Genomic DNA, 22,007 nt, shown 5'->3' with positions numbered 1-22,007 from the left:
TAAATGCAAGCCTCACTTGTGTTCTTGGCAAGGGACCCTTGATTAGTGAAGAAACCACACAACTGTGCCCAGGAACCCTGCTTCTGTCTGGGTATAGGCTGCCTGGGGAGGTGTGATCTGGGAGGAACCTGCAACTCTCTCCCTGGGATCAAGGAGGTTCTGTGGGTTTGGCTTGGGTACCCATTACCTTGGGTTCACAAAGATCTCATTCTGCTCCTCTTTCCCTCTACTTGGGGGCTTTGGAAACAAAAGCCTAAAACAGGCAGTGGTAGTGGCCAAACTTCCAGCCTGAAGCACACTCACGTCACAAACTGACGTGTGCTGGACTCTGTCTGGCTTTTTTTTTTTTTTTCCTTGAGACAGGGTCTGGCCCTGTCACCCGGGCTGGATGGAATCATGGCTCATTACATCCTCAACCCCCTGGGCTTAAGTGATCCTCCCACCTCAAACTCCCAAGTAGCTGGGACCACAGGCATGTGCCACCATGCCTAATTTTTAAATTTTTTGCAGAGATGAGGTCTCACTACGTTGCCAAGGCTGGTCTCAAACTCCTGGGCTCAAGAGATCTTCCCACCTTGGCCTCCCAAAGTGCTGGGATTACAGATGTGAGCTACCATGACAGTCCCTGGTTTTTGAGCACCTTTCATGCTCTTTCATATTTGATCTTCTGAAACTTCCTTGGGATTGGTTCTATGGTTATCATTATTTTAGACATAAAACTGAAGCTCAGAAAAGTTAGGCAACTTGTCTGATACCTGTCTCTGATAAGAGGCAGAGCAAGGATTGGGATCTAGGCCTTGTTACTCAGAGCACAGGGGCAGGGTGGCTGGAGTTTCCTTCACATCCCCAGCCTGTGTCATGATGGATTTGCTTTCCTGGTTTTGAACATCACACACATGGAATTGTCTGTACATTCTGGGGTCTGACTTCATTGTACACTTCATCCACATTGTTGTGGGTTGTGGTTGTGTGCCCATTTCCATTGTTGTACAGAATTTCCTCTCTGTGAACATGCCATACTTTCTTTTTAAAATCTTTTTTTCCTATGGATGGACATCTGGATCATTTCCAGTTTGGGGCCATCAGGAAGAAAGCTGCTGTGGGTAGTTTTGTTCATGTCTTCTGGTACACATAAGCTCTCATTTCTCTTGGGTGAGTTGAGGAATTAGTTGGTCATCAGGTATTCATATGTTTAGGTTTTGTAAATACTACCAGTTTGCCAATGTGGTTTTATCAATTTCATGAGCCATGTATGAGGGTTCCAGCTGTGACATCCTCGACAAACTAGGTATTGTCAGTCCTTTTAATTTTAGCCATTCTTGGGTGGGTGAGGGCAGTGAAGAGCTATTCTTGACATGGAATGACAAGACCTAGTGTGCCCGAGGTGAAGGCCTGAGCGTCCAGGGGAGCATGAGCCTGTCTTCTATGCCCTGCTGTGCTATGGCAGTGTTTCAGTGTGCTCTGGAGGAAAACAGCAGAGAAGCCGAGTGCTCCAAAGTGGGCAGAAATGAGACAGGCATAATGTGCTAGGCTAATGGTGACTCTTGGAATTTTGTCATTAGCTACAAAGAGGGCAGTGACATGATTTACACACACACACGGGGTGGGGTATCTGAAATATTAGGCAGCTAGTATGGCAGGGGCACCGTCTAATCAGCATGGATGCTGGCCAGGAGAGGACATGTGTATGTGCTGGCTGGAAACAGTCCTGCTCATAGGTCACGATCTTAATGATTAAATAACAAGGCAAGAAATCCGAGAGGGCAGTGCCTGGGAGCACCCTGTTTGCTCTGTGGCCAGAACGCAGCACACTGAAGTATTGCCCATCAGGGTAAGAGGTGCTCGTGATGGTTTGGGCAAATACAAATATTAATCCAGAGTATTTGAGTCTACATGAAAATACTGAAAAGTGAGGGAAGACCCAACCGTTTCCAAGAAATACAAATTGGAACTGGCGATAACTTAAAGAACATAATCAGAGAGGCAGAGGGCATTGGGTTTTACTAAAATATGAAGACATACGTCCTGTCTCCACGTCAGCAACTGCCCAAAGTACACGCGTTCCAGCGAAAAGAGCGGGTGGGGTGGGGAGGCTCAGGGCCAGCCAGAGCTTCGGTGCTTGCACGCCCAGGCCTCCGGGTGACGACTGCTTCCAATTCCGCGCCCTTTAAACCCCATGTTGTTAAAAAAAAAAAAAAAGAAAGAAAACCTATTTCTCTAAAAGTCACGATTCGAGCCCCACCTGAGGACGCAGCGATCCAGCGCCAACTCATTATCTGAGATAAAGGAGTGATTTTACCAGAAGCGCCTATGCAAGACGCAGGGCCCCGCGCGGGCTGCTCCCACCTCTTTCTCTCCTTGCAGGCTACCGAGACCCTGGCTGGGGCGGCCGGCGGCCCCTCCGGCCCATCCGTCGGAAATGATGAGTGGCTCCAGTGGCCGGGGTCCGCAGGACCTACCCCAGCGGGCATGGCGGGAGCCCCGCAGCCCCACACAGCCGCGCTCTGAGCCGCTGACCCCGCGTCTCTCGTGAGGGACCAATCAGCTGCCAGCTAAGGTCACATACCTAGAAGGCCAATTTTGATTGGCTGGGCGCGGGCTAGTCAGCGGGACGGGCGGGCGCGCGGGCGTTGTTGGGCTCCTCTGAGCGGTTGAGGTTGGGGCTGGGGTTGAGCTCGGGTTGGGTTCCTCCTGGGGCAGGAGGGAAAGGCGGGAGCCAGGGCGTCAGGGCCTGCGGACGATGTGTGTGTGAAAGGGCGCGTCAGCCATAAGAAGCCATATGCGTGCGAGCCGGTCCCCACCGTCCCCGCGGCGTTGTCACCATCATCATGAGGCCACTGGAGCAGCCTCAGGCGCTGCTGCCGGGGGGCCGGGCGCGGGGTGCGTCGGGCTCTGCAGGTTGGCACTCACACCCAGCGCGCAGGATGGCAGGCAAGTGAGTCCTGAATCCTGCCCGCGGCTACCCGACACCTCGCCTGTGAGTTCCCGGCCCGGCATTGCTCCATGACCTATGCACAGGCAGAACTCTTGACCGCCACCCACAGGAACCTCACTTACATTGGCTTAACAAAAACGCAACTGATGGTTCCACATAACTGAAAATGTCAGAAGTAGGCCTTCAGGCATGGATGTATCCAGGTACACATTGACCATGGTCCTGGAAGGTTTCTCTCCATCTCTCAGCTTCCTTCCTTTTTGCTGGCTTCCCTTGTGGAGGCAAGATGATCACCAGGACCTCCTGAGGTTTACATGTTATCAGATTATCAACCTCAACAAAAAGGAGATTCTTTTTTTTCCCAGCTTTCCAGGCTGGGCAGTGGTGAGTTTGGCCCACCTGAACTACAAGGACTGAGATGGCTGTGGCCCCCCCCCTCCCCACCAGGAATATAGCAGTGCTGTCATTACCAGAAGGGGCCTCGGATGCTGTGGAGGGCAGTGCCCCATCCTCTGTTTTCAAGCATTATCTGGGAGAGTTGATGCGTGAACCTATTACTCTCACAAAAATAGCAATAATAATAATGGTTATTATGACAATGAAACCCAAAAACACTTATATCGCTCTTACGGTTTCCACATACAAAGCACTTTGACCCACTACTGTCAGGGAAGCAGGGCTTTGCACCCACTGGAGACGCTTCATCCAGCCAACATTCAAGCAGTTTGTTGGGGAGTGGAACAGGGAAGAGCCACACAGGCTGTGTAACCCCAAGTGCTTTGTCATCCCAGAGACAAAGCACCCGGGTTTTTATAGTGGAAGGAGGTTCATTAATGGACAGTTTGACGATGTTTTTTCTTCAGTATTTCAGTAAGTTGAGGGTGTCTGACAGATCATCCTAGGTGATGTGATTGGCAGCTACATGTCTTGGAAAGTTCTCAGCAGGTTGGAATGCTCCTGTCTTTTCTGATGCTCCAAGCACAAGTGTAGCTGGAGTCAGCTTGAAGCTGGTTGGCTTGGGAATGCAGGATTCCATGACAGCCAGCCCCCAGGAGCCCCTAGACATTCACGCATGAGCTAGCACACGCCTGCTTCTGATGTCACCCTCTCACTCTTCTTGGGCTCAGAGGATCCCCCCATCCCCACCACCCGTGGGCTTTATTATTAAGAGTCAGTTCTGAGAAGACAGGTCCAGGCCTGTGCTCTAGCATCCCTGCCCCCTAGTTTACACAAACCCTAAGCTTTTCTGTTCTTCTCTTCTAGGAATAGCACATTTCAAACCTACAAGAAAGAAGTGTGCCTCCCCCGTCATTCGGTAAGGAAAGCAAATCCTCAGCCACTGGCCCTGACCCCAACATATCCCTGTGGGGTGAGGAGAGCAGGGAATGTGGGTCCAGAAGCTGCATCCCATGAGAGAATCCTCCAAACACAAAAGTGTGGTTGCAGGAGCTATCCCTGGGCCTCCAGAACACCTCCCAGGCCCTCACAACACCTCAGAGTTCAGGAGGCCACCTAATATACCTGCTCTGGGCATCAGCTTCTCCGTGTGCCCCTGGAGGTGATGGCAGCACCTCTCCTTCCTGCCTGAGGGTGTTGCGAAGGTCACATGGGATGGATGTGGAAGCTCTTGCACACCAGAGTGTGACAGATGGCCATAAAGGCAGCACTCATGTGCGCATAAGCTCTAGAGCTGCTTGTACATGCCCATTTTCAGAGGGGACCACGAGACTTGCTCATTGTAGCACAGCAGGAAGCAGCTGAGAATCCCAGCGCACCTGATTTGCAAGCTCCGGGGGATCCCCCTCCAAATGACCTTGGAGGCCTCAGGGCGAGCCACGGTAGCCTGCCTCTTTCCAAGCTGCAGTAGGAGCTGGGGACCCTGCCCCCGGACACCATCTTCCTGAGCACGGATCTACTGTGCTTGAGAGCCTCCTGTCTCCCTGCAAATGCAGCATCAAGCTCAGTTCTGTCATTTCTGGATCTTACTCAGATGCACCCTGGCCCCTGGGCCATCTGCTGTGAATGCCAGACCAGATTCGGGGGCCGCCTGCCTGTGTCCAGGGTGGAAGCAGCACTGCCTTACTGGGTCCCTCTGTCCCTGAGACCCCGAAAGCAGGTAGGTGACTTGAACCAGGAGGTCTTCCCCTAGGGTCCAGGGTGAATGTCAGTTGACCAGTCACCCCTCAGAATTAGAAGTATTATATGAATGGATATTTTAACATTTCAGGGAGACAGTTTGATATTATTTATTTATTTATTTTCATGTCAGATGGGTAATGTGCTGTCGTTGTAGCAAGGTCTGAGGGAGGCACACCTCACACATGTGCATGAGTACCCAGTTATCATGCTTATGAACTATAAAAGGATCTGTGATTTTTAAACAGTTTTTTCTAAAAACTAGACTTCTAGAGGTTTGATTGGCATGTGATAAACTGCACGTGTGTCAAATGTACAATGTGGTAAGTCTTGCCGTAGGTATTCCCCCCTGAACCCACCACCACCATCAAGATAATGAGCATATACACAACCCTTAATCATGTCCGTGGGCTCCTTTGTAACTTTACCCAACATTCCATACCCTGACATCCCCAGGCAACCACTGACCTGCTTTCTGTCACTGTAGATTAATTTGCATTTTTGATGATTTTATATAAATGGGGTCATAGACTTTGTACTCTTTTGTCTGGCTTCTTTCACTTGGCATAATTATTTTGAGATTCTTCTATGTGATCATGGGCATCAATAGTCATTCTTTTTATTATTGAGTAATGCTGCATTATGTGAATAGGCCACAGTTTATTCATTCGCCCAGAAGGACATTTGGGTTGTTTCTACTTCTTATGTGTTACACACAAAGCTGCTATGAACATTTGTGTACAAGGCTTTGTATGCACATATGCCGTCATTCTTCTTGGGTAAATACCAAGGAGTGGAATTCCTGAATCATATGGTAGGTGTATGTTTAACTTTAAAAAAGAAACCTGTTGACTGTTTTCCACCATTTTACATCTCTACTAGCAGTGTCTAAAGTTCCAGTTCCTCACATCGTCACCAACACTTGGTTTAGCTGATGTTTTTAATTTGAGCCATCTTAATGGGTATCTGTCTCATCGTAGTTTTCATTTGTATACCCGTGATAATTGGTGATGTCAAGGATCTCTTCATGTGCTTTTGCCATCTGCATGTCTTACTCGATGAGGCATCTGTTTGTTTTGCCCCTTTAAAAGAATTGCTTTTTTAAATTACTGAGTTTTGATAGTTCTTTATATATTCTAGATACAAATTCTAGATACAAGTTCTTGATCCGAGATTCAATTTGTAAATGTCTTTCCATGTCTTTGGCCTGCCTTTCCTTTTTTGAGACCGGGCCTCACTCTGTTGCCCAGATTGGAGTGCACAATCATGGCTCACTACAAACTTGAACTCCCTAGCTCAAGCAATCCTCCCCCCTCACCCCCCAAGTAGCTGGGACCACAGGCGTGCACCACCATACGAGGCTAATTTTGTTTATTTTTCGTGGAGATGAGGTCTCACTATGTTGCCCTGGCTAGTCTCAAACACCTGGACTCAAGTGACCCACCCGCCTCGGCCTCCCAAAGTGCTGGGATTACAGGCATGAGCTGCCACCACACCTGGCCAAGCCTCTTTTCTTAATAAATTACACTGCCTCAGCTATTCCTTTATGGCCATACAAGTGGACTGACAGTTGTTCATATATGTATGAATTTATTTCTGAACCCTCTTCTCTTCTGATCTAATTGTCTATCTTTATGCTAATACTACACTGTCTTGATTATTGTGTCTTGACTTTATAATGCCTGGAAATCAAGTAGTGTTCATTTTCAAACTTTGTTTTTCTTTTTCAGACTTGGCTTTTCTCTTTTTTTTTTTTTAATTTCCATGTGAATTTTAGAATCAGTTTGTCAGTTTCTACAAAAGTACCCTACTGGAATTTTGATTGGGACTGTGTGGGCTTTGTAGATCAGTTTGAAGAGAACTGTCTTTTGAAAAATATTGAATCTTTTGACCCATAAACATGATACATTTCTATGTTTATTTAGGTTTTCTCTAATATTTCCCATAAATATTTTGTAGCTCTTATTATATAGGCTTTACACATCTTTTGTCAGATTTACCCATAAGTATTTCATAATTTTGATGACATTGTTTTTGAATTTCAATTTATGACTTTTCATTGCTGGTATTAGAAGTACAACTGATTTTTTGTCTATTGTTCTTGTATTCTACAATATTGCTAAACCTATTTATTCTAGTAGCTCTTTTTGTGGATTCCATCAGCTATTCTATGTAGATGATTGTGTCATCTGCAAATAGAGATGGCTTTCTTTCTCCCTTTTCAATTTGGAGACTTTTATTTTTCTTGCTTGATACACTGGCTAGACCTTTCAGTACAGTGTTGAAGAGAGCAGTGAGAGGAGACATTCTTGTCCTGCTTATGAGGGATGGCATTCAGTTTTTCTTTTTCTTTTCTTTTCTTTCTTTTTTTTTTTTTTTTTTGAGATGGAGTCTCACTCTGCTGCTCAGGCTGGAGTGCAGTGGCATGATTTCGGCTCACTGCAAACTCCGTCTCCCAGGTTCAAGCGATTCTCCTGCCTCAGTCTCCCGGGTAGCTGAGATTACAGGTGCCCACCACCACTCCCGGCTAATTTTTGTATTTTTAGTAGAGATGGGGTTTCACCATGTTGGCTAGTCTGGTCTCAAACACCTGATCTCAAGTGATCCACCTGCCTTGGCCTCCCAAAATGCTGGGATTATTGGCATGAGCCACTGCTCCCGGCCTTCCTCCCGTGTCTAATAGCCTCTACCACTACGTGCAGAGCTGTAACTCCTCCTCCTGCTGTAACCTCCTCCTCATCCTGTTGCCCGAACCATGTGCCTCGTTGAACCCGCAGCTGAGAGGTGGGACCACCCTGTCTTTCCGCTGGAGAAGCTGCAGGGTCACAGTGCCAAGGGTGGGCTTTAGGGAGGGTGAGGAACTGAGGCAAGAGTGTAATTTGCAATAATTCACATACATGTGATTGCATGTACATTCTTTTTTGAAAAATGCAAATGGTAGTGTAGTGAACTCACGGTGCTGCATCTTCCTCACTTTACAGCCTGTCTCAGAGTTTATTCCGTGTCAGTCCGGACAGCTCTGTTCCATTATTCCCAAGGCTGCCTATACCCTGTTGCCCGATGTCTGTCATTTATTGTCTCTTACTGAAAGGTATTCGGGCTGTCCATTCACTCCTGACAATGGTGCAACAAATATTTCTGTGCATAGGACACTTTGCAGATGTGAAAGTATCCTCATGGGACACATTCCTGCAAGTGGAATTGCCGCATCAAAGGCTGTCTATTTTAGAACCTGATAAACTTTGTTAAGATGCCAGCAGAGCCCTCTTCATAGCTGAGAGCACTGCGGCACAGGGATGCTAAGTGTCATGCCCAAGGGCCCCAGCTGGAGACCACCAGACCAGGACAGAGCCAGGTCTCCCAATACCAACCTGTGTGCTCCGCCAGGGCACAGGTGCAGATGGTGGGTAGGGAGGCCAGGTGAGCCACGGAGGTCCCGTGTCTCCCAACAGTGGGCATGTTGTAGAGGGTAGACCACAGTCCCATATCTGGAGTGGTTGGGTGTGCTTGTGGGTGGGAACAGCTCTCCAGGGCCTGCCCTGATACTAAGACCCAGCCAGGGGATCTTCTGGGGGATGGCTCCATCAGGGAGTCATTGGGGACAGGCATGGCTCCATCCCCTTCTGAATCTTCTCCTCCCATCCTCTCTGTTAGAGTCAAAAGACGGTTCAATTTCCTATCCCCCAAACCGCCAAGATGTGCCCCTGCCTATGCCACCGCTTTGGGGGCCGCCTCCCGATGCCTAGGGACCAGGCAGTGATGCCCTACTGGGTGCCCCAGGTCCTGAGGTCTCAGCAGCAGGTAAGGAGGAGGCGCACACTGCAGTGAGAACTGAAGAGTGAGGTGGGGGCCGGGGGAAGGGGAGATGGGAGGAAGAAGGGGAAGAGGGGTACCTGGGCTCTGCTCCCACAAAGGCCTCTGCTGGTGTCCAGAGAAGATCCCCTGGCAGCTGTGGCCATGGGCTTGGGAGCACAGAGGGCAGGTGTGGCTCAGGGAGGGCTGGCTCAGGTCTCCCAGTTGGCACTGGAAGGGCAGGGCCGCGCTGCTCTCTGCAGAGGGGTGATTGTTCTGGCACCCACTGCTGCTGCTGCTGCTTTCCTCCCTCTCTTCCTCCCCCTCTGCACTCTCCCTGACCTCTCTCACCTCCCTGCCTCCTCCTTCCCACACTACCTCCCTTCCCTGGCCCAGCCCCTCCTCTGACTCTCTCCCCTGGCCCTGGCTGCATGGAGGGAGGTGGGAAGGAGGGTGCCCGGGACGGACCACCAGTAGATGGCCTGTCCTCTCTGCTCTTGCTGGCCGCCTCCACAGCGCTAGTTCTGGGCAGCGGCAGCAGGTCTCTTCCTAGCCCCCTGGGCCTCTCGCTCCCCTGCTTTCCCTGTGTCCTGGGTGGTAGACAAGGGCTTCCTTCCTTCCCCCTGACTTCCAGTTGCTGGTTTTCCATTACTGGGTGGCAGGCTGTCCTCAGAGAAAAGAGCCCGCAGACCTCATAAGGAGGAGCCCTTGGCTTTTATCTTGAGCTGGCCAGTGCCCCTCCTGGAGGTTTGGAGTCCCAATCACCAGGCCTTCCCCCTTGGAGGGTCGCCAGGCTGACTGCTTGCCTCCATTCTTGTCTTTTAGATAGTCAGGAGGCAGCAGAGTTTGAAAGGCATCCAAGGTAACTCCAGTGTGTGTGTGTCTCATATCATCCCCCTCCCCAGAAAGGTGGGGTTCGTGAGCATCATGATGGTGGGGGCAGACCTCTCATCACCAGACACCTGCCCACAGTGTGACAGTGACATGAATGTGGCTTCCCTTCCCCTGCTCAACAGCCATCCCTGGTCACCCACTGCCTTCCCCCAGTGAGCCCAGAGAAACCTCTGCTCTACAGGCAGACCCTACCCATCTGCCAGCATCGGTTCTCTGGATGAAACCAACTCCCCGCCTGGGCTTGGATGAGACCTCAAGTGGTTTTATTAAGCTCTAATCTTCTATAATTTATGACATAGTATGTGTGTGTATATATATTTATGACATAGTACATATTCCTATGTGTACCCTATTATATACTCATACATTCATATATTCATGGCATATTGTATATTCAAAACATAATAATTATGTATCTATTCATTACATAGTATGCTCATACATTCATATATTTGTGACCTAGTGTATGTACATTCACATGTTCATGATAGACATAGTATATACTCACATTCATGTATTCACAATACAATATGTATTCATGTGAGGGGCCTTGAAAAAGTTTATGGAAAATGCATATAATATGCTGGGTGCAGTGGCTCACACCTGTAGTCCCAGCACTTTGGGTAGCTGAAGAGGCTGGAATGCCCGAGCTTAGGAGTTTGAGACCAGCCTGGGCAACATAGTGAAACCTTGTCTCTACTAAAATACAAAAAATTAGCTGGGTGTGGTGGCACATGTCTGTAGTCCCAGCTACTTAGGAGGCTGAGGCATGAGAATTGCTTGAACCTGGGAGGCAGAGGTTGCAGTGAGCTGAGATCACACCATTGCACTCCAGCCTGGGCAACAGAGTGAGACTCTGTCTACAAAAAAAAAAAAAAAAAAAAAAAAAAAAGAAAAGAAAGAAAAAGAAAATGCATATAATAAAAAAAGCAGTGAAACAATGTATGGATTTCAGTTTTTTTTTGCACCAAACTAAACTGATACTAACTTATTATAACATATCTGAACAGGATCTAATTTGAGGTGCTAAGAAGGAAAAGACATCAGTTTAAAAAGAGTCCCTATCAGAGCAGCATGAACTCTGCTAAAATTGAACCCAAAACAAACATCACATTTATGGTGAAGTTTGAGTGGAACAATGGTAAACTCACTGATGCTTTATGACAAGTTTATGGTGACAGTGTACCACAGAACAGCAGTTTCCAGATGGGTGACTCATTTAAGAAGGGATGAGGCGATGTTGAAGGTGCAGCCTGCATCGCCAGCCCATCCACATCAGTTTGTGAGAAAAAACATTCATCGTGTTCATGCCCTAACTGAAGAGGACTGATGATTACCAGCAGAAACACTAGCCAACAGCGTAGACATCTCAACTGGCTCAGCTTACACAATTCTGACTGCAAAATCAAAGTTGAGCAAACCTTCCACTCAGAGGGCACCAAACCCATTGTGTCCAGATCAGCTGCAGACAAGAATAGAGCTTTCAGTGGAAATTCTAAAGAAGTGGGATCAAGATCCTAAAACATTTCTTTGAAGAATTGTAACAGGAGTGAAAACATGGCTTTGCCAGTACCATCCTGAAGACAAAGCACAACCAAAGCAATGGCTATCGAGAGCTGAACGTGGTCCCATCGTGGTAAGAGTGGATGGGACAAGAGCAGAGGTCACGGCAACAGTTTTTTGGGATGCTCAAGGCATTTTGCTTGTAGACTTTCTGGAGGACCAAAGAATGGTAACATCTGCTTATTTATTTATTTATTTATTTATTTATTTATTTATTTATTTATTGAGATGCAGTCTCACTTTGTCACCCAGGCTTGCAGTGGCGCAATCTCGGCTCACCACAACTTCCGCCTCCTGGGTTCAAGTGATTCTCCTTCCTCAGCCTCCTGAGTAGCTGGGATTACAGGTGTGTGCCACCATGCCTGGCTAATTTTTGTATTTTTAGTAGAGATGGGATTTCACCATGTTGGTCAGGCTGGTCTGGAACTCCTGACCTCGTGATCCTCCCACCTTGGCCTCCCAAAGTGCTGGGATTACAGGCGTGAACCACTGTGCCCGGCCAACACCTGCTTATTATGGGAGTGTTTTGAGGAAGTTAGCCAAAGCTCTAGCAGAAAAACACTCTGGAAAGCTCCACCAGAGTCCTTCTCTACCACAGCAAGGCTCCCGCTCATTCCTCTTGTCAAACCAGTGCAACTTTGTGAGAGTTTTGATGGGAAATTATTAGGCATCCACCTTACAGCCAAATTACAGTCCTGATTTGGCTCTTTCTGTCTTCTTTCTTTTCTAATCTTAAAAAATCTTTAAAGGGCACCCATTTTCTTCAGTTAATGATGTAAAAAAAGACTGCATTGATGTGGTTAAATTCCCAGGACCCTCAGCTCTTTCAAGATGGACTAAGTAGCTGGTGTCATCACTGACAAAAGTGTCTTGACCTTGTAGAGCTTATGTTGAGAAACAAAGTTGATATTTTTTATTTTTTATTTTTATTTTTAGTTTGTTTTAGGATGGAGTCTCACTCTGTCACCCAGGCTGGAGTGCAATGACGTGATCTCGGCTCACTGCAAGCTCTGCCTCCTGGGTTCAAGCAATTCTCCTACCTCAGCCTCCCAAGTAGCTGGGACTATAGGAGTGTACCACCATACCCAGCTGATTTTTGTATTTTTATTAGAGATGGGTTTTACCATGTTGGCCAGGCTGGTCTTGAACTCCTGACCTCAGGTGATCCACCTGCCTTAGCTTCCCAAAGTGCTGGGATGACAGGCGTGAGCCACCGTGCCTGGCCTATTTTTATCTTTTAATTCCATTTTCTACAAACTTTTTGCAGTCCCTTTATGTATTCATAGTTAAGTATATTTATGTATTTGTGTGTCTGTGACCTGGTATGTAGATTGATCTGTCTGTGACCTGGCACATATGTGTATTCCTGCTCTCATGACATAGTATATGGGGAGATCAGGACCTCCACACCCACCATTACTTTCTTTGTCTCTAAAAGGAGTAGGCTAGACTTGATCTTGAAGGTGTTTTCTGTTGTGGAGGGCTGCCGTGTCTGTGTTTTCTGGGCTGGCATCATGTCCTTCTCTTGGTGCACCAACTCTTTGTAGTGAGTTTGCCTTGATGGAATCTATGAATGAGTAAATCTGTGAATGGAGTTGGGGTCCCTGGAAAAGGTGAGTGATTTGAGTGGAACCCCCAGAGGCAGGGGTCGGGGAATGCTTGGGAAACAAATAATCACCAACCAACTGCTCACCTCTTATGGCTCTTCGAACCGTAGAATCACATATGTTGGGTTTATTTTTATTAAATATTTTTGGCTTTGAAACCTTTGCATCTTTTAAGAAAAGCTAAAAGCTTAGTTGACATGCATCATCTGGTATCTGATACTTAAAATAAAAATGGCATTAATTTTTACTCCAATCATTGTTTTGTAGTTTAGGTGACTTATATAAGTAATGTTTCAAGCCTCAAACCCATTCACGCCAGAAGATTTCCCAGCACAGAATTAAGAGAGCAGATCTCATTGCTGCCAGGAGAATTATGACAGTTCTTCCCTCTGGCCGCAAGTACGGAGTGATTTAAAAATGTGAGACACTTTCTTTGGCTGCAAATCTGACTGGTTTCCATTTTAATGAGAAAGTCCACATTTCTGATCTTACATTTTTTCTTGTAAAGACAGACTTAGGTGCTTTTCTCCTCTATGTTTTTGTGGCATAATTTTTCATAAGGAAAGTATATTTATGATATTTACATTAATATAATTAATGTATATTTTATATTAGTAGCATATTAACAGTGTAATAAAAAATAAAAACAAACTCTAGTATCCAGAGGATCACATGCTGACCAGACCCCGTGTAGAAAGTGCCGAAGAGCATCAAGGAAATGGAAACGTTGGAATTCCATCCGTGCTTGTGGCTTTCCTTAAACTTTTGTTATGGAAAATTTCAAATATACCCCGAAGTGGAGATTGGCTTAAATCAGCCCCACGTGCCCATCACTCGGCTCCAGTCATTATCCAGTGTGGTTCCTCTGATCTTCACCACCCACTCCCGCTCCAAAAAAGAGGATTTGGAAACAAGTCCCAGCTAGACATTGCACATGTTCCATATGCTGTTCTAAAAGAGCAAGCCTCTTGAAAAACAGCCCCAAGGCTGCCGTTACCCAGGATATCATAAACCCGCAAGACGGCCTTTATCTCGTGAGCTCCGGGTCAGTGTCCCCACCCCGGGGCTGTGGCTGGGTCCTGGAAGTCCCCATTTCCCGGAGGCTCTGGGGCTGGTGTTGCAGCCTCCTCGTGGCTCACAGAGTCCCGGAGAACACGCCCTGTCCTCAACCCACCTTTTCTTTGCCTAGCACCCCTGCTGGATGCATGCTGCTGGCACAACTGCTGGCGGATCTGCGGTGATGAGTGCCTGTTGTCCAAGTTCCAGCAGCTCCAGGCCCCCTACCAGGACCAGCTACCGGCTCCTGCAGCGCGTCTGCTGCCCCTCGGCCTCCTGACCCTCCTCCAGGCCATCCCGAGGGTCATCATGGCCATTCGGTGAGCAGGTGGGGGATGGGGGACAGTGGGTGGCCCTGGCATGGTGACGTCCACCTGAGGGAGGCTTGGTGGCCATCAGGGATGTGGAAGAGTGGGGGGTGGGGCTTAACTTGACAGGCGTCCAAGGCCCGGCACTGTGAGTGTGTCCTGTGGTGCTCTGCACAGCGCAGGCTCTGCCCCGCGTCACCTAGAGATGCCAGGGCAGCCTGGGGGCGGCGGGGGCCTCGTGGGGCACTTCCACCCCTTCCCTCTTCCCAAGTTCTAAAATGGCCCTGCTCCCAGAAGGACACGGGTCCCAGTTTCCATAAATTTTCATTGTTATGTTGGGGTTGACGGTGCATCTTAACAGCCACTCACCCTCCAGCCTCTGAGCTCTGAGCACCCCCTCAGGTATGGGGACCTCTTGCCTGTCCCCAGCTTGAGCCCCAGCCGCCAGTCTCCATACTAGAAAGCCCCTTCCCCTGGTCTCTAGTCCCTATCCTCGCCCAGGCTTCGAGTTTCGCCCCTGGCACCCTTGCTGCCCACAGCCATGGCTTTCTGCTGGGATACCTCCCCCAGGAAGCCTCCGGGGCCACTCCCCGGGCCACAGCTGGGCTTCGGGGAACAGCTACTTCCTCTTACTCCTTTACTCTCGGCCTAGGCGGTGGCTCCTCTGCAAAGCCTCTCTCCTCTCCTCCTCCTCCTCATTGCCCAGTGCAGCTCCTTCCTGCCTGGGGGCCTGCATCACACTGCATGGATGAGGAGACCTGTGAACAAACGCACACACACAGTCGAATTTACATGCATTTACTTGTTTGCTCGTTGTCTCCTCCATGCAATTGCAAGAGGAAGATTCTAGAAAATGTGCAGCGTCTGCAGGTAGCTGCCAGGTGTCCTGTCCTGTTTTCTAGTTGTTCACAGCAGGAGCTTAGCCCGGTCTTGGTCACTCTGCCACGGCTGGGAGCGGGAGCGGGAGGCTCTCCCCTGTTTTTTGGGTTATCCATTCTCCTAGAGTTGGACGTTGCCTCCCACTCCCTGGGCAGTCACAGTTGAGGCTGTGATGTGCATCGGGGTACGGGTCCCTTGTGGGCCTGGGCGCCAGCCTCTCCAGGCCATGCACTGGGAAGGGGGCCAGGAGCGGGCGCGGTGAGCTCTGTTTGGTCTCTGAGCATGAGCAGTACCTGGGCAACAGCGAGAGCTTTCCTTCTTTGTCGTTTTTCTTGTGGATTTATCTTTCTTTTTATGTTTGGCAGCTTGATGATCACATTTAGTTTGACTCCTTTGTACCCACACTGGGAGAAGCAAAGAAGAACACTTGGCCTTAAAGGATGGGCAAGGCTGGGCATGGTGGCCCACACCTGGATCCCAGCCTTAGAGGATGGGCGAGGCCGGGCACAGTGGCCCACACCTGGATCCCAGCCTTAGAGGATGGGCAAGGTGTGGTGGCCTACACCTGGATCCCAGCACTTTCGGAGGCCAAGGTGGGAGGATCACTTGAGCCCAGGAGTTCAAGACCAGCTTGGGCAACATAGTGAGACCCCATCTCCACACAAAATAAAAAAATTAGCTGAGTGTAGTGCTGTGGTCCCAGCTACTTGGGAGAACGAGGTGGGAAGATTGCTTGAGCCCAGGAGAGTGCAGTTGCAGTGAGCTGATTGTGCCAGTGCACTCCAGCCTGGGCAACAGAGCAAGATCCTATCTCTAAAAGAAATTTAAGAAACAATTTTAAAGGATCAATGTTAAGTAGATGGTCAGGGGGCCCAAAAGGGAATTGCTAAGCCCTGGCCTCAGGCTCAAATTACTTGGTAAGATGGAAGGAATGGAAGGAAGGAGAGGGGAAGAAAAAGAGAAAGATGCCTGGGCTTTGTCTAGAGATTTGGAGTAACTGTTCTGGGGAGGGCCTGGGCATGCTCTTGTTTTGAAGTTCCCCAGAAGTGCAGTCCAGGTGGAGACCCGCCTGCATGTTGGTGCAGCTTCCTGTTTTCCAGCCCCTGAATTCTGGCACTTGGAGGGCCCCATCTCTTCCTGTCCTTATCAACAGCTTGTCTAGAAAGACCCAGGAAGTCACTCACTCTGTGGTGTTGGTGATTCATATGCTTCCATAGCAGGTGTCTGCTTCTGAGCCAAGCTCCCAGGGCAGCGGAGCAGGCACCAACCAGCATCCCAGGGGAGGGCACAGCTTGTCCAGCTGGGATGTTTGGGTGCCCTGTGAGATGCCCCAAGCCACCAACCCAGCTTATCTCAGGAGAAGCCTCGGCGGCCCGTCTGCCGGCCTGGAGAGATGTGCTACAGCAGCCGGGGGTGGGGGGAGAGGGTGGGCTTAGAATCTCTTGGCAGGGAGCCCCCAAGAGCAGGGTGAGACCTGCCTTCATTTCACCTGTCCCCTTCACAGTTCTGCAAAGCCAGCATTATCATCCCTTTTCAGAAGGAGTGGGCACTCAGGTGGAATGCCTCACCCCAGTCCTGCGGCTGGAAAGCGATATGGCCAGGACTGCACCCCACCCCTCATCCCTGCACCCCTTCCCTGCCTGGGATTCCTCCAGCCCTGTGCACTGTGGAGCGCCTCTGCCTTCCGCTCATGGAGGTTTCCCAAGGGCACGCGCTGAGGGCAGCTGGTCTCAGCCTGGGGCCGGGTCCTAGTAACTGTCTCTCTTTGCTTTCCAGCCAGTGTTTTGGGGTTTGAAGTTGGAATCTTCAGCTACTGTCAAGAACAGCCACAAAAATGTGTCACGATCAAGATCTTTGAGAGTCCACCAATCAGGAGGCGTCTGTGACAGTCGCTGTCTTCTCAGAACAGAATCCACACCCAGGATTCAACCCAAATGATTTCTCATCAGGTGATTCTTGGTTGTAGCAAAGTTCATGTGAATGTGGGTGAGTTTCTGTTATGAATGTGGTCAATAAATGTTATTTGTGAAACTCTAAACTGGCCACCTCTTAAATGATGACCTCTGATTTCCCTTCATTAAGGGGGGACTTGTCCCCATGTCCGTGTCCCTGGGGGAGGGCAGCTATTTCCGAGTGTCTCTTCAGGGACAGCAGACCCACTGGATGAGGGCCCGAAAATGGTTTCAGCACCTGTGTCAGGTGGGTCTCCCTTTAAGTAGCATAACATTGTATATGTGAATTGAATTTTAAAATCTGAGATCTCTTTTATATGTCATAAAATTCACTCTTTTAGAGTATACGATTCAGTGGTTTTTAATATATTTACAGAGTTTTGCAACCATCACTGCTCATTCTAGAACATTCACTGCAAAAAGTCCCATACCATTAAGCAGTCACTCCTTCCCGTCTCCCCCAATCCCTGGTGACTTCTGATCTACTTTCTGACTCTGGATTTGCCTGTTCTGGGACATTTTATCTTAATGCTGTCGTCCGATAAGTGGTCTTTTATGACTGGCTTCTTTCACTCCGTATTAGGCTTCATCTGTGTTGAGGCATATGTCAGTATGTCATTTCTTTTGATGGTTGAATTTTGGGTTGTTTCTGCTTTTCGGTGATTCTACTTTGTGAATAATGTGGTTATGAACATTTGTGTACAAGTGTTTGTGTGGACAGAGGTTTGCGTTTCTCTGGGGTGTACACCTGGGAGTGGAATTGCTGGATCATATATTACTCCATGTTTCATGTTTTGAGGAACTGCCCAGCTCTTGTCCGCAGCAGCTCTGCCATTTTATATGCCCACCAGCAGGCATGAGGGTTCCCATTTCCCTGCATCCTCATGACACTTGTTTCATCTGTGACTTTGCTGATAGCCATCCTAGCAGGTATGGAGTGGTATCTCATTGTGGTTTCCATTTGCATTTTCCTAATGACTAATGATGTTGAACATCTTTCCATGTGCGTATTGGACATTCGTATAACTTCTTTGGAGAAGCGTCTATTCAAATACTTTGTCTATATATAGATATATAGATACACACATACACACACACACACACACACACACACACACACACACACAGACATATACATATATATAGATATGTCCCCCTAACACAGATATATATTTTTGAGACAGGGTCTCACTCTGTCACCCAGGCTGGAGTGCAGTGGTACAATCATAACTCACCAAAGCCTTGACCTCCTGTGCTCAAGCAATCCTCCCGCCTCAGCCTCTCATGTAGTTGGGACCACAGGCACATGCCACCATACCTGGCTATTAATAGTTTTTTAAATTTTTGTAGAGACGGGTCTCACTTTGTTGCCTAGACTGGTCTTGAACTCCTGGGCTCAAATGATCTTCCTGCCTCTGCCTCCCACAGTGCTAGGATTACAGGCATAAGCCACCATGCCTGGCCGTTTGTCTATATTTTAATTGGGTTGTCTATCCATCTTTTTATTATTGACTTGTAAGTATTCTGTGTATTTTCTGGATACTAGACCCATTTTCTTGATGATGTCCTTCGAAGTAGATGTGGGTTTTAAATTGTTGTGAAATACGGTTTATATTTTTCTAGGTTGCATGGACTTTAGGTCGTATGCTCATATCTAAGAAACCGTTGCTGGATTCGAGATCACAAGGACTTGCACTTGTGTTTTCTTCTTTTTTTTTTTTTTGAGACAGAGTCTCGCTCTGTTGCCCAGGCTGGAGTGCAGTGGTGCGATCTTGGCTCACTGCAAGCTCCATCTCTTAGGTTCAGGCGATTCTCCTGCCTCAGCCTCCCAAGTAGCTGGGATTACAGGTGCCTGCCACCAGGCCCGGCTAATTTTTGTATTTTTAGTAGAGACAGGGTTTCTCCATGTTGGCCAGGCTGGTCTTGAACTCCTGACCTCAAGTGATCTGCCCATCTCGGCCTCTGAAAGTGCTGGGATTACAGGGGTGAGCCACTGCACCCAGCCTTGTGTTTTCTTCTAAGAGTGTTATTGTTTTAGCTCTTACATTTAGGTTTCTAAAATCTATTTCGAGTTTAATTTCTGTATATGGTATGAGGTAGGGGTCCAGCTTCATTCTTTTGCTTGTGGATATCCAGTTGTCCTGCATAACACCATGAAATGATAAAATTATAGAAATGGAGGCAGATTAGTGGTTTCTGGGAGCTCAGGAAGGGTCTGGGTCTGGTGGGAAGGAAGGGCCTGTGTTTATAGAGGGGCAGCGCGAGGCATTCTTGTGGCTGGAAACACATCAGTGGCAGTGTTCTGGTTGCAGTATTGTACTATGGTTTTGCCATGTGTTACCAATTGGGGCAAACCGAATAAAGGATAACATGGGGCTTCTCTGTATTATCTCTCTTTTTTTTTTTTTTTTTTTTTGAGACCGGGTCTCACTCTGTCGCCCAGGCTGGAGTGCAGTGGTGCGATCTTGCCTCACTGCAACCTCCGTCCCTGGGGCTCAGGTGATCCTCCCACCTTAGCCTCCTGAGTAGCTGGGATTACAGGCTCACACCACCACGCCTGGCTAAGTTTTGTATTTTTAGTAGAGATGGGGTTTCACCATGTTGGCCTGGCTGGTCTCAAACTCCTGACCTCAAGTGATCTGCCTGCCTTGGCCTCCCAAAGTGCTGGGATTACAGGTGTGAGCCACTGTTCCTGGCCTCTCTGTATTATTTATTATATGTGTACATGACTCTGTAATTATCTCAAAATGATAAGTTTAATTGTAGAAGCAACACAATTCACTGTGAAAGACTTTAAGGATACAGAAAACTACAAAGAAGAAAATAGAAACCACTCAGTTCCTCCCCTGAGCAGATCTCTGTTATTACTGCCTGGGCAGGAAGGAAAGGACACATTCCTCCGGGGGTGACCAAACGGAGGACCTAAAGGTGACAAACAGGCTCAGACAGTAGTTCGCACCTGTAATCCCAGCTACTCAAGAGGCTGGGGAAGATTACTTGAGGCCAGGAGTTCGAGACCAGACTGAGTAACATAGCGAGACCCTGTCTCTACAAAAAATATAAAAATTAGCCAGGCATAGTGGTGCATGCCTCTAGTCCCAACTACTTGGGAGTCTGAGGTGGGAAGATCTCTTGAGCCCAGGAGTTTAAGGCTACAATGAACTGTGATCACACCCCTGCAACTCCTGCCTGGGCAACACAGTAAGACCCTGTCTCTCTAAAAAAAAGTGTCAAACAGGAACCAGACTCTGGGATGCTTGAACTGGGGGGTTCACCTTAGAGACAAGGAAGAAAGACGTGGGAGTCTCAGATATACAGAACAAAGAGGGCTACAGTGACGGGCCAGGGCCTCGGTGTATCTTGGGCACATCCGTATCTGCAGTGGCCACCGTGGAGGGAGTGGAAGCCGTGTTCTCCAGGGGCACATCTTCAGTGGCCCTAGGGCAACTTTAAACATCATTTATTCAATCAGCACATATTTATTGGATGCCTGGCACCAGGGAGACAGCATAAGAAGACATGTGCTGCCTCCAGGGTGCCACTGCGCAGCGAGGGTATTGTAATTCAGGTGGGGGTCGTTGCCATCCTGCCTGAGGCACACATGAACACAAGGAGGGCCCAGGAGCTCCGTCAGTGACCTGCTAACCATTCCCACGTTGCCACAAGGACCAGCAACCTCTTTCTGGGGTGTTCTTGCTGTGGGAGCCACTGCAGGGACAGGCTGGATGTACAGGACGTGATGCCCCAGGAGCAGCCCTTGGCCGATGATGGGTGGGAGGTGTGGGTCAGCACTTCTGCCCCCGCATCCTTCGATGGGGATGACTCTGGGCCGTGTTCCCAGCAGGACTGAGCCCGTACCGCCCACTGGGGCCACCTTCTTGCTAATTTCCTTCATCCCAGCTCTCCTTCCTCCCCTCACCTTCCCACTCCCTCACAGGGCTTCCTGCATCACCTCCCCCAGAAAACACTTGCGCTCAATCCTTGCCTCAGGCTCTGCTTTTGGGGTGAACTCAAGATAAGACAAGGTGAGCAGATCCCATCTCACCAGTCAGGGAGGAAGCGCCATCGGAGCAGAGACCTGAAGACAATTCCAGGAAACCTGGCAATGAAAGGTGAGACCAGAGTGCCAGGGCACAGGCACAGCAGGGGTGGACAGTCTGGAGGTGACAGGTGGGGGCATTCCGGCCACTTAATCCAGTTAGGGTGGCTGGGTCGTGGCATGGGCAGCCAAGAGCACTGGAGGATGAAGCGGATGGCAGAGAGCATGGGAGGCTTTGGGAGGCTGTCAGGGCTTCACATTTGTGTGGCTAAATCCTGCACCACAGCCAGGTTCAGGGCATATTCGAGAAGGCCATGAAGGCTTGGGTCCCCTGGCCGTGTCAGTGGCAAGGGAGGACAGGTCAAGGCAGCGGCCACAGCAGCCCGTGACCACAGGCTGCATTTTGGAGAAACCACTCCAGCTGAAGAGTGTTGGATGGAATAGAGTGGCAAGAGTGGACACGGGAAACCAGCTTGGAGGCTGCAGCAGGAAACCTGGTGGGGGACGATGGTGTCTGGACCTCGGTGGTGGTGGCAGTGGCTGTGTTCCAGGTGGGTGGGGTTATTTGGCTCTGTTGTCTACATCTGTGCAGGTGTGCTCTTGGGGAGTGGTACCTGAGGCTGCACCACATGTCCTGAATAACCCAGTGACAATGTTGCTGCAGCCCACACGGGACCACGGCTTCCATAGACGGACCCCAGGCAGCTCTCCGCCTGCAGGCGTTGTCGTGAAACTTGGCGTTAGGAGCCACAAGAGGGCACTGTTGAGAGACTTTAGCATAGAAGCCCCAGAAGGCCAGGGCTGGAGGGGGCTTCAGTTGCCCAGGTCAGCCCATGGTTTGTGGGA

The 22,007-nt window shown here is 49.0% G+C and overlaps 1 protein-coding gene, 1 long non-coding RNA gene and 1 other non-coding gene across 5 annotated transcripts, besides 3 other annotated features; 1 reads left to right on the top strand and 2 right to left on the bottom strand.

Moving 5' to 3' along the window:
- Positions 1-1,978: 1,978 nt before the first annotated feature.
- C16orf95-DT (C16orf95 divergent transcript) lies at positions 1,979-2,513 on the bottom strand. The gene is made up of 2 exons (NR_135180.1): positions 2,300-2,513; positions 1,979-2,165 (listed from the first exon to the last, which is right to left on the bottom strand). It is a non-coding gene; the product is annotated as a C16orf95 divergent transcript (long non-coding RNA).
- Positions 2,603-3,052: an enhancer, noted in NCBI's record as "active region_11320". NCBI's record gives its function as "activates an Ori minimal core promoter by ATAC-STARR-seq in GM12878 lymphoblastoid cells {active_cell/tissue: GM12878}" and the evidence as "EXISTENCE:reporter gene assay evidence [ECO:0000049][PMID:35858748]".
- C16orf95 (chromosome 16 open reading frame 95) lies at positions 2,630-17,208 on the top strand. 3 transcript variants are annotated; one of them, NM_001195124.3, is made up of 7 exons: positions 2,630-2,931; positions 4,199-4,250; positions 4,926-5,051; positions 8,726-8,872; positions 9,689-9,725; positions 14,117-14,303; positions 16,947-17,208. In NM_001195124.3, exons 1-7 carry the CDS (start codon positions 2,780-2,782, stop codon positions 16,963-16,965), a joined length of 720 nt encoding a protein of 239 aa, NP_001182053.1. In that variant the 5' UTR covers positions 2,630-2,779; the 3' UTR covers positions 16,966-17,208. The 3 variants fall into 3 exon arrangements, with proteins under 3 accessions (NP_001182053.1, NP_001182054.1, NP_001243846.1); NM_001195125.3 differs by lacking the exons at positions 8,726-8,872; positions 9,689-9,725; NM_001256917.2 differs by lacking the exons at positions 8,726-8,872; positions 9,689-9,725 and having other exon boundaries at positions 2,630-2,935.
- Positions 4,309-4,809: an enhancer, noted in NCBI's record as "H3K4me1 hESC enhancer chr16:87348819-87349319 (GRCh37/hg19 assembly coordinates)". NCBI's record gives its function as "activates a minimal SCP1, AML or CMV promoter by ChIP-STARR-seq in primed H9 embryonic stem cells {active_cell/tissue: H9 hESC(primed)}" and the evidence as "EXISTENCE:reporter gene assay evidence [ECO:0000049][PMID:30033119]".
- On the bottom strand, positions 5,199-5,302 carry LOC124903787 (small nucleolar RNA U13). The gene has a single exon (XR_007065233.1). It is a non-coding gene; the product is annotated as a small nucleolar RNA U13 (small nucleolar RNA).
- Positions 13,419-14,002: an enhancer, noted in NCBI's record as "NANOG-H3K27ac-H3K4me1 hESC enhancer chr16:87339626-87340209 (GRCh37/hg19 assembly coordinates)". NCBI's record gives its function as "activates a minimal SCP1, AML or CMV promoter by ChIP-STARR-seq in naive H9 embryonic stem cells {active_cell/tissue: H9 hESC(naive)}" and the evidence as "EXISTENCE:reporter gene assay evidence [ECO:0000049][PMID:30033119]".
- Positions 17,209-22,007: the final 4,799 nt, after the last annotated feature.

This window comes from Homo sapiens, chromosome 16 (genome assembly GCF_000001405.40).
Source record: "Homo sapiens chromosome 16, GRCh38.p14 Primary Assembly".
Taxonomy (NCBI): domain Eukaryota; kingdom Metazoa; phylum Chordata; class Mammalia; order Primates; family Hominidae; genus Homo; species Homo sapiens.
Note: the sequence above shows the minus strand (reverse complement) of the source record. Positions and strands in the feature narration are given on the sequence as shown.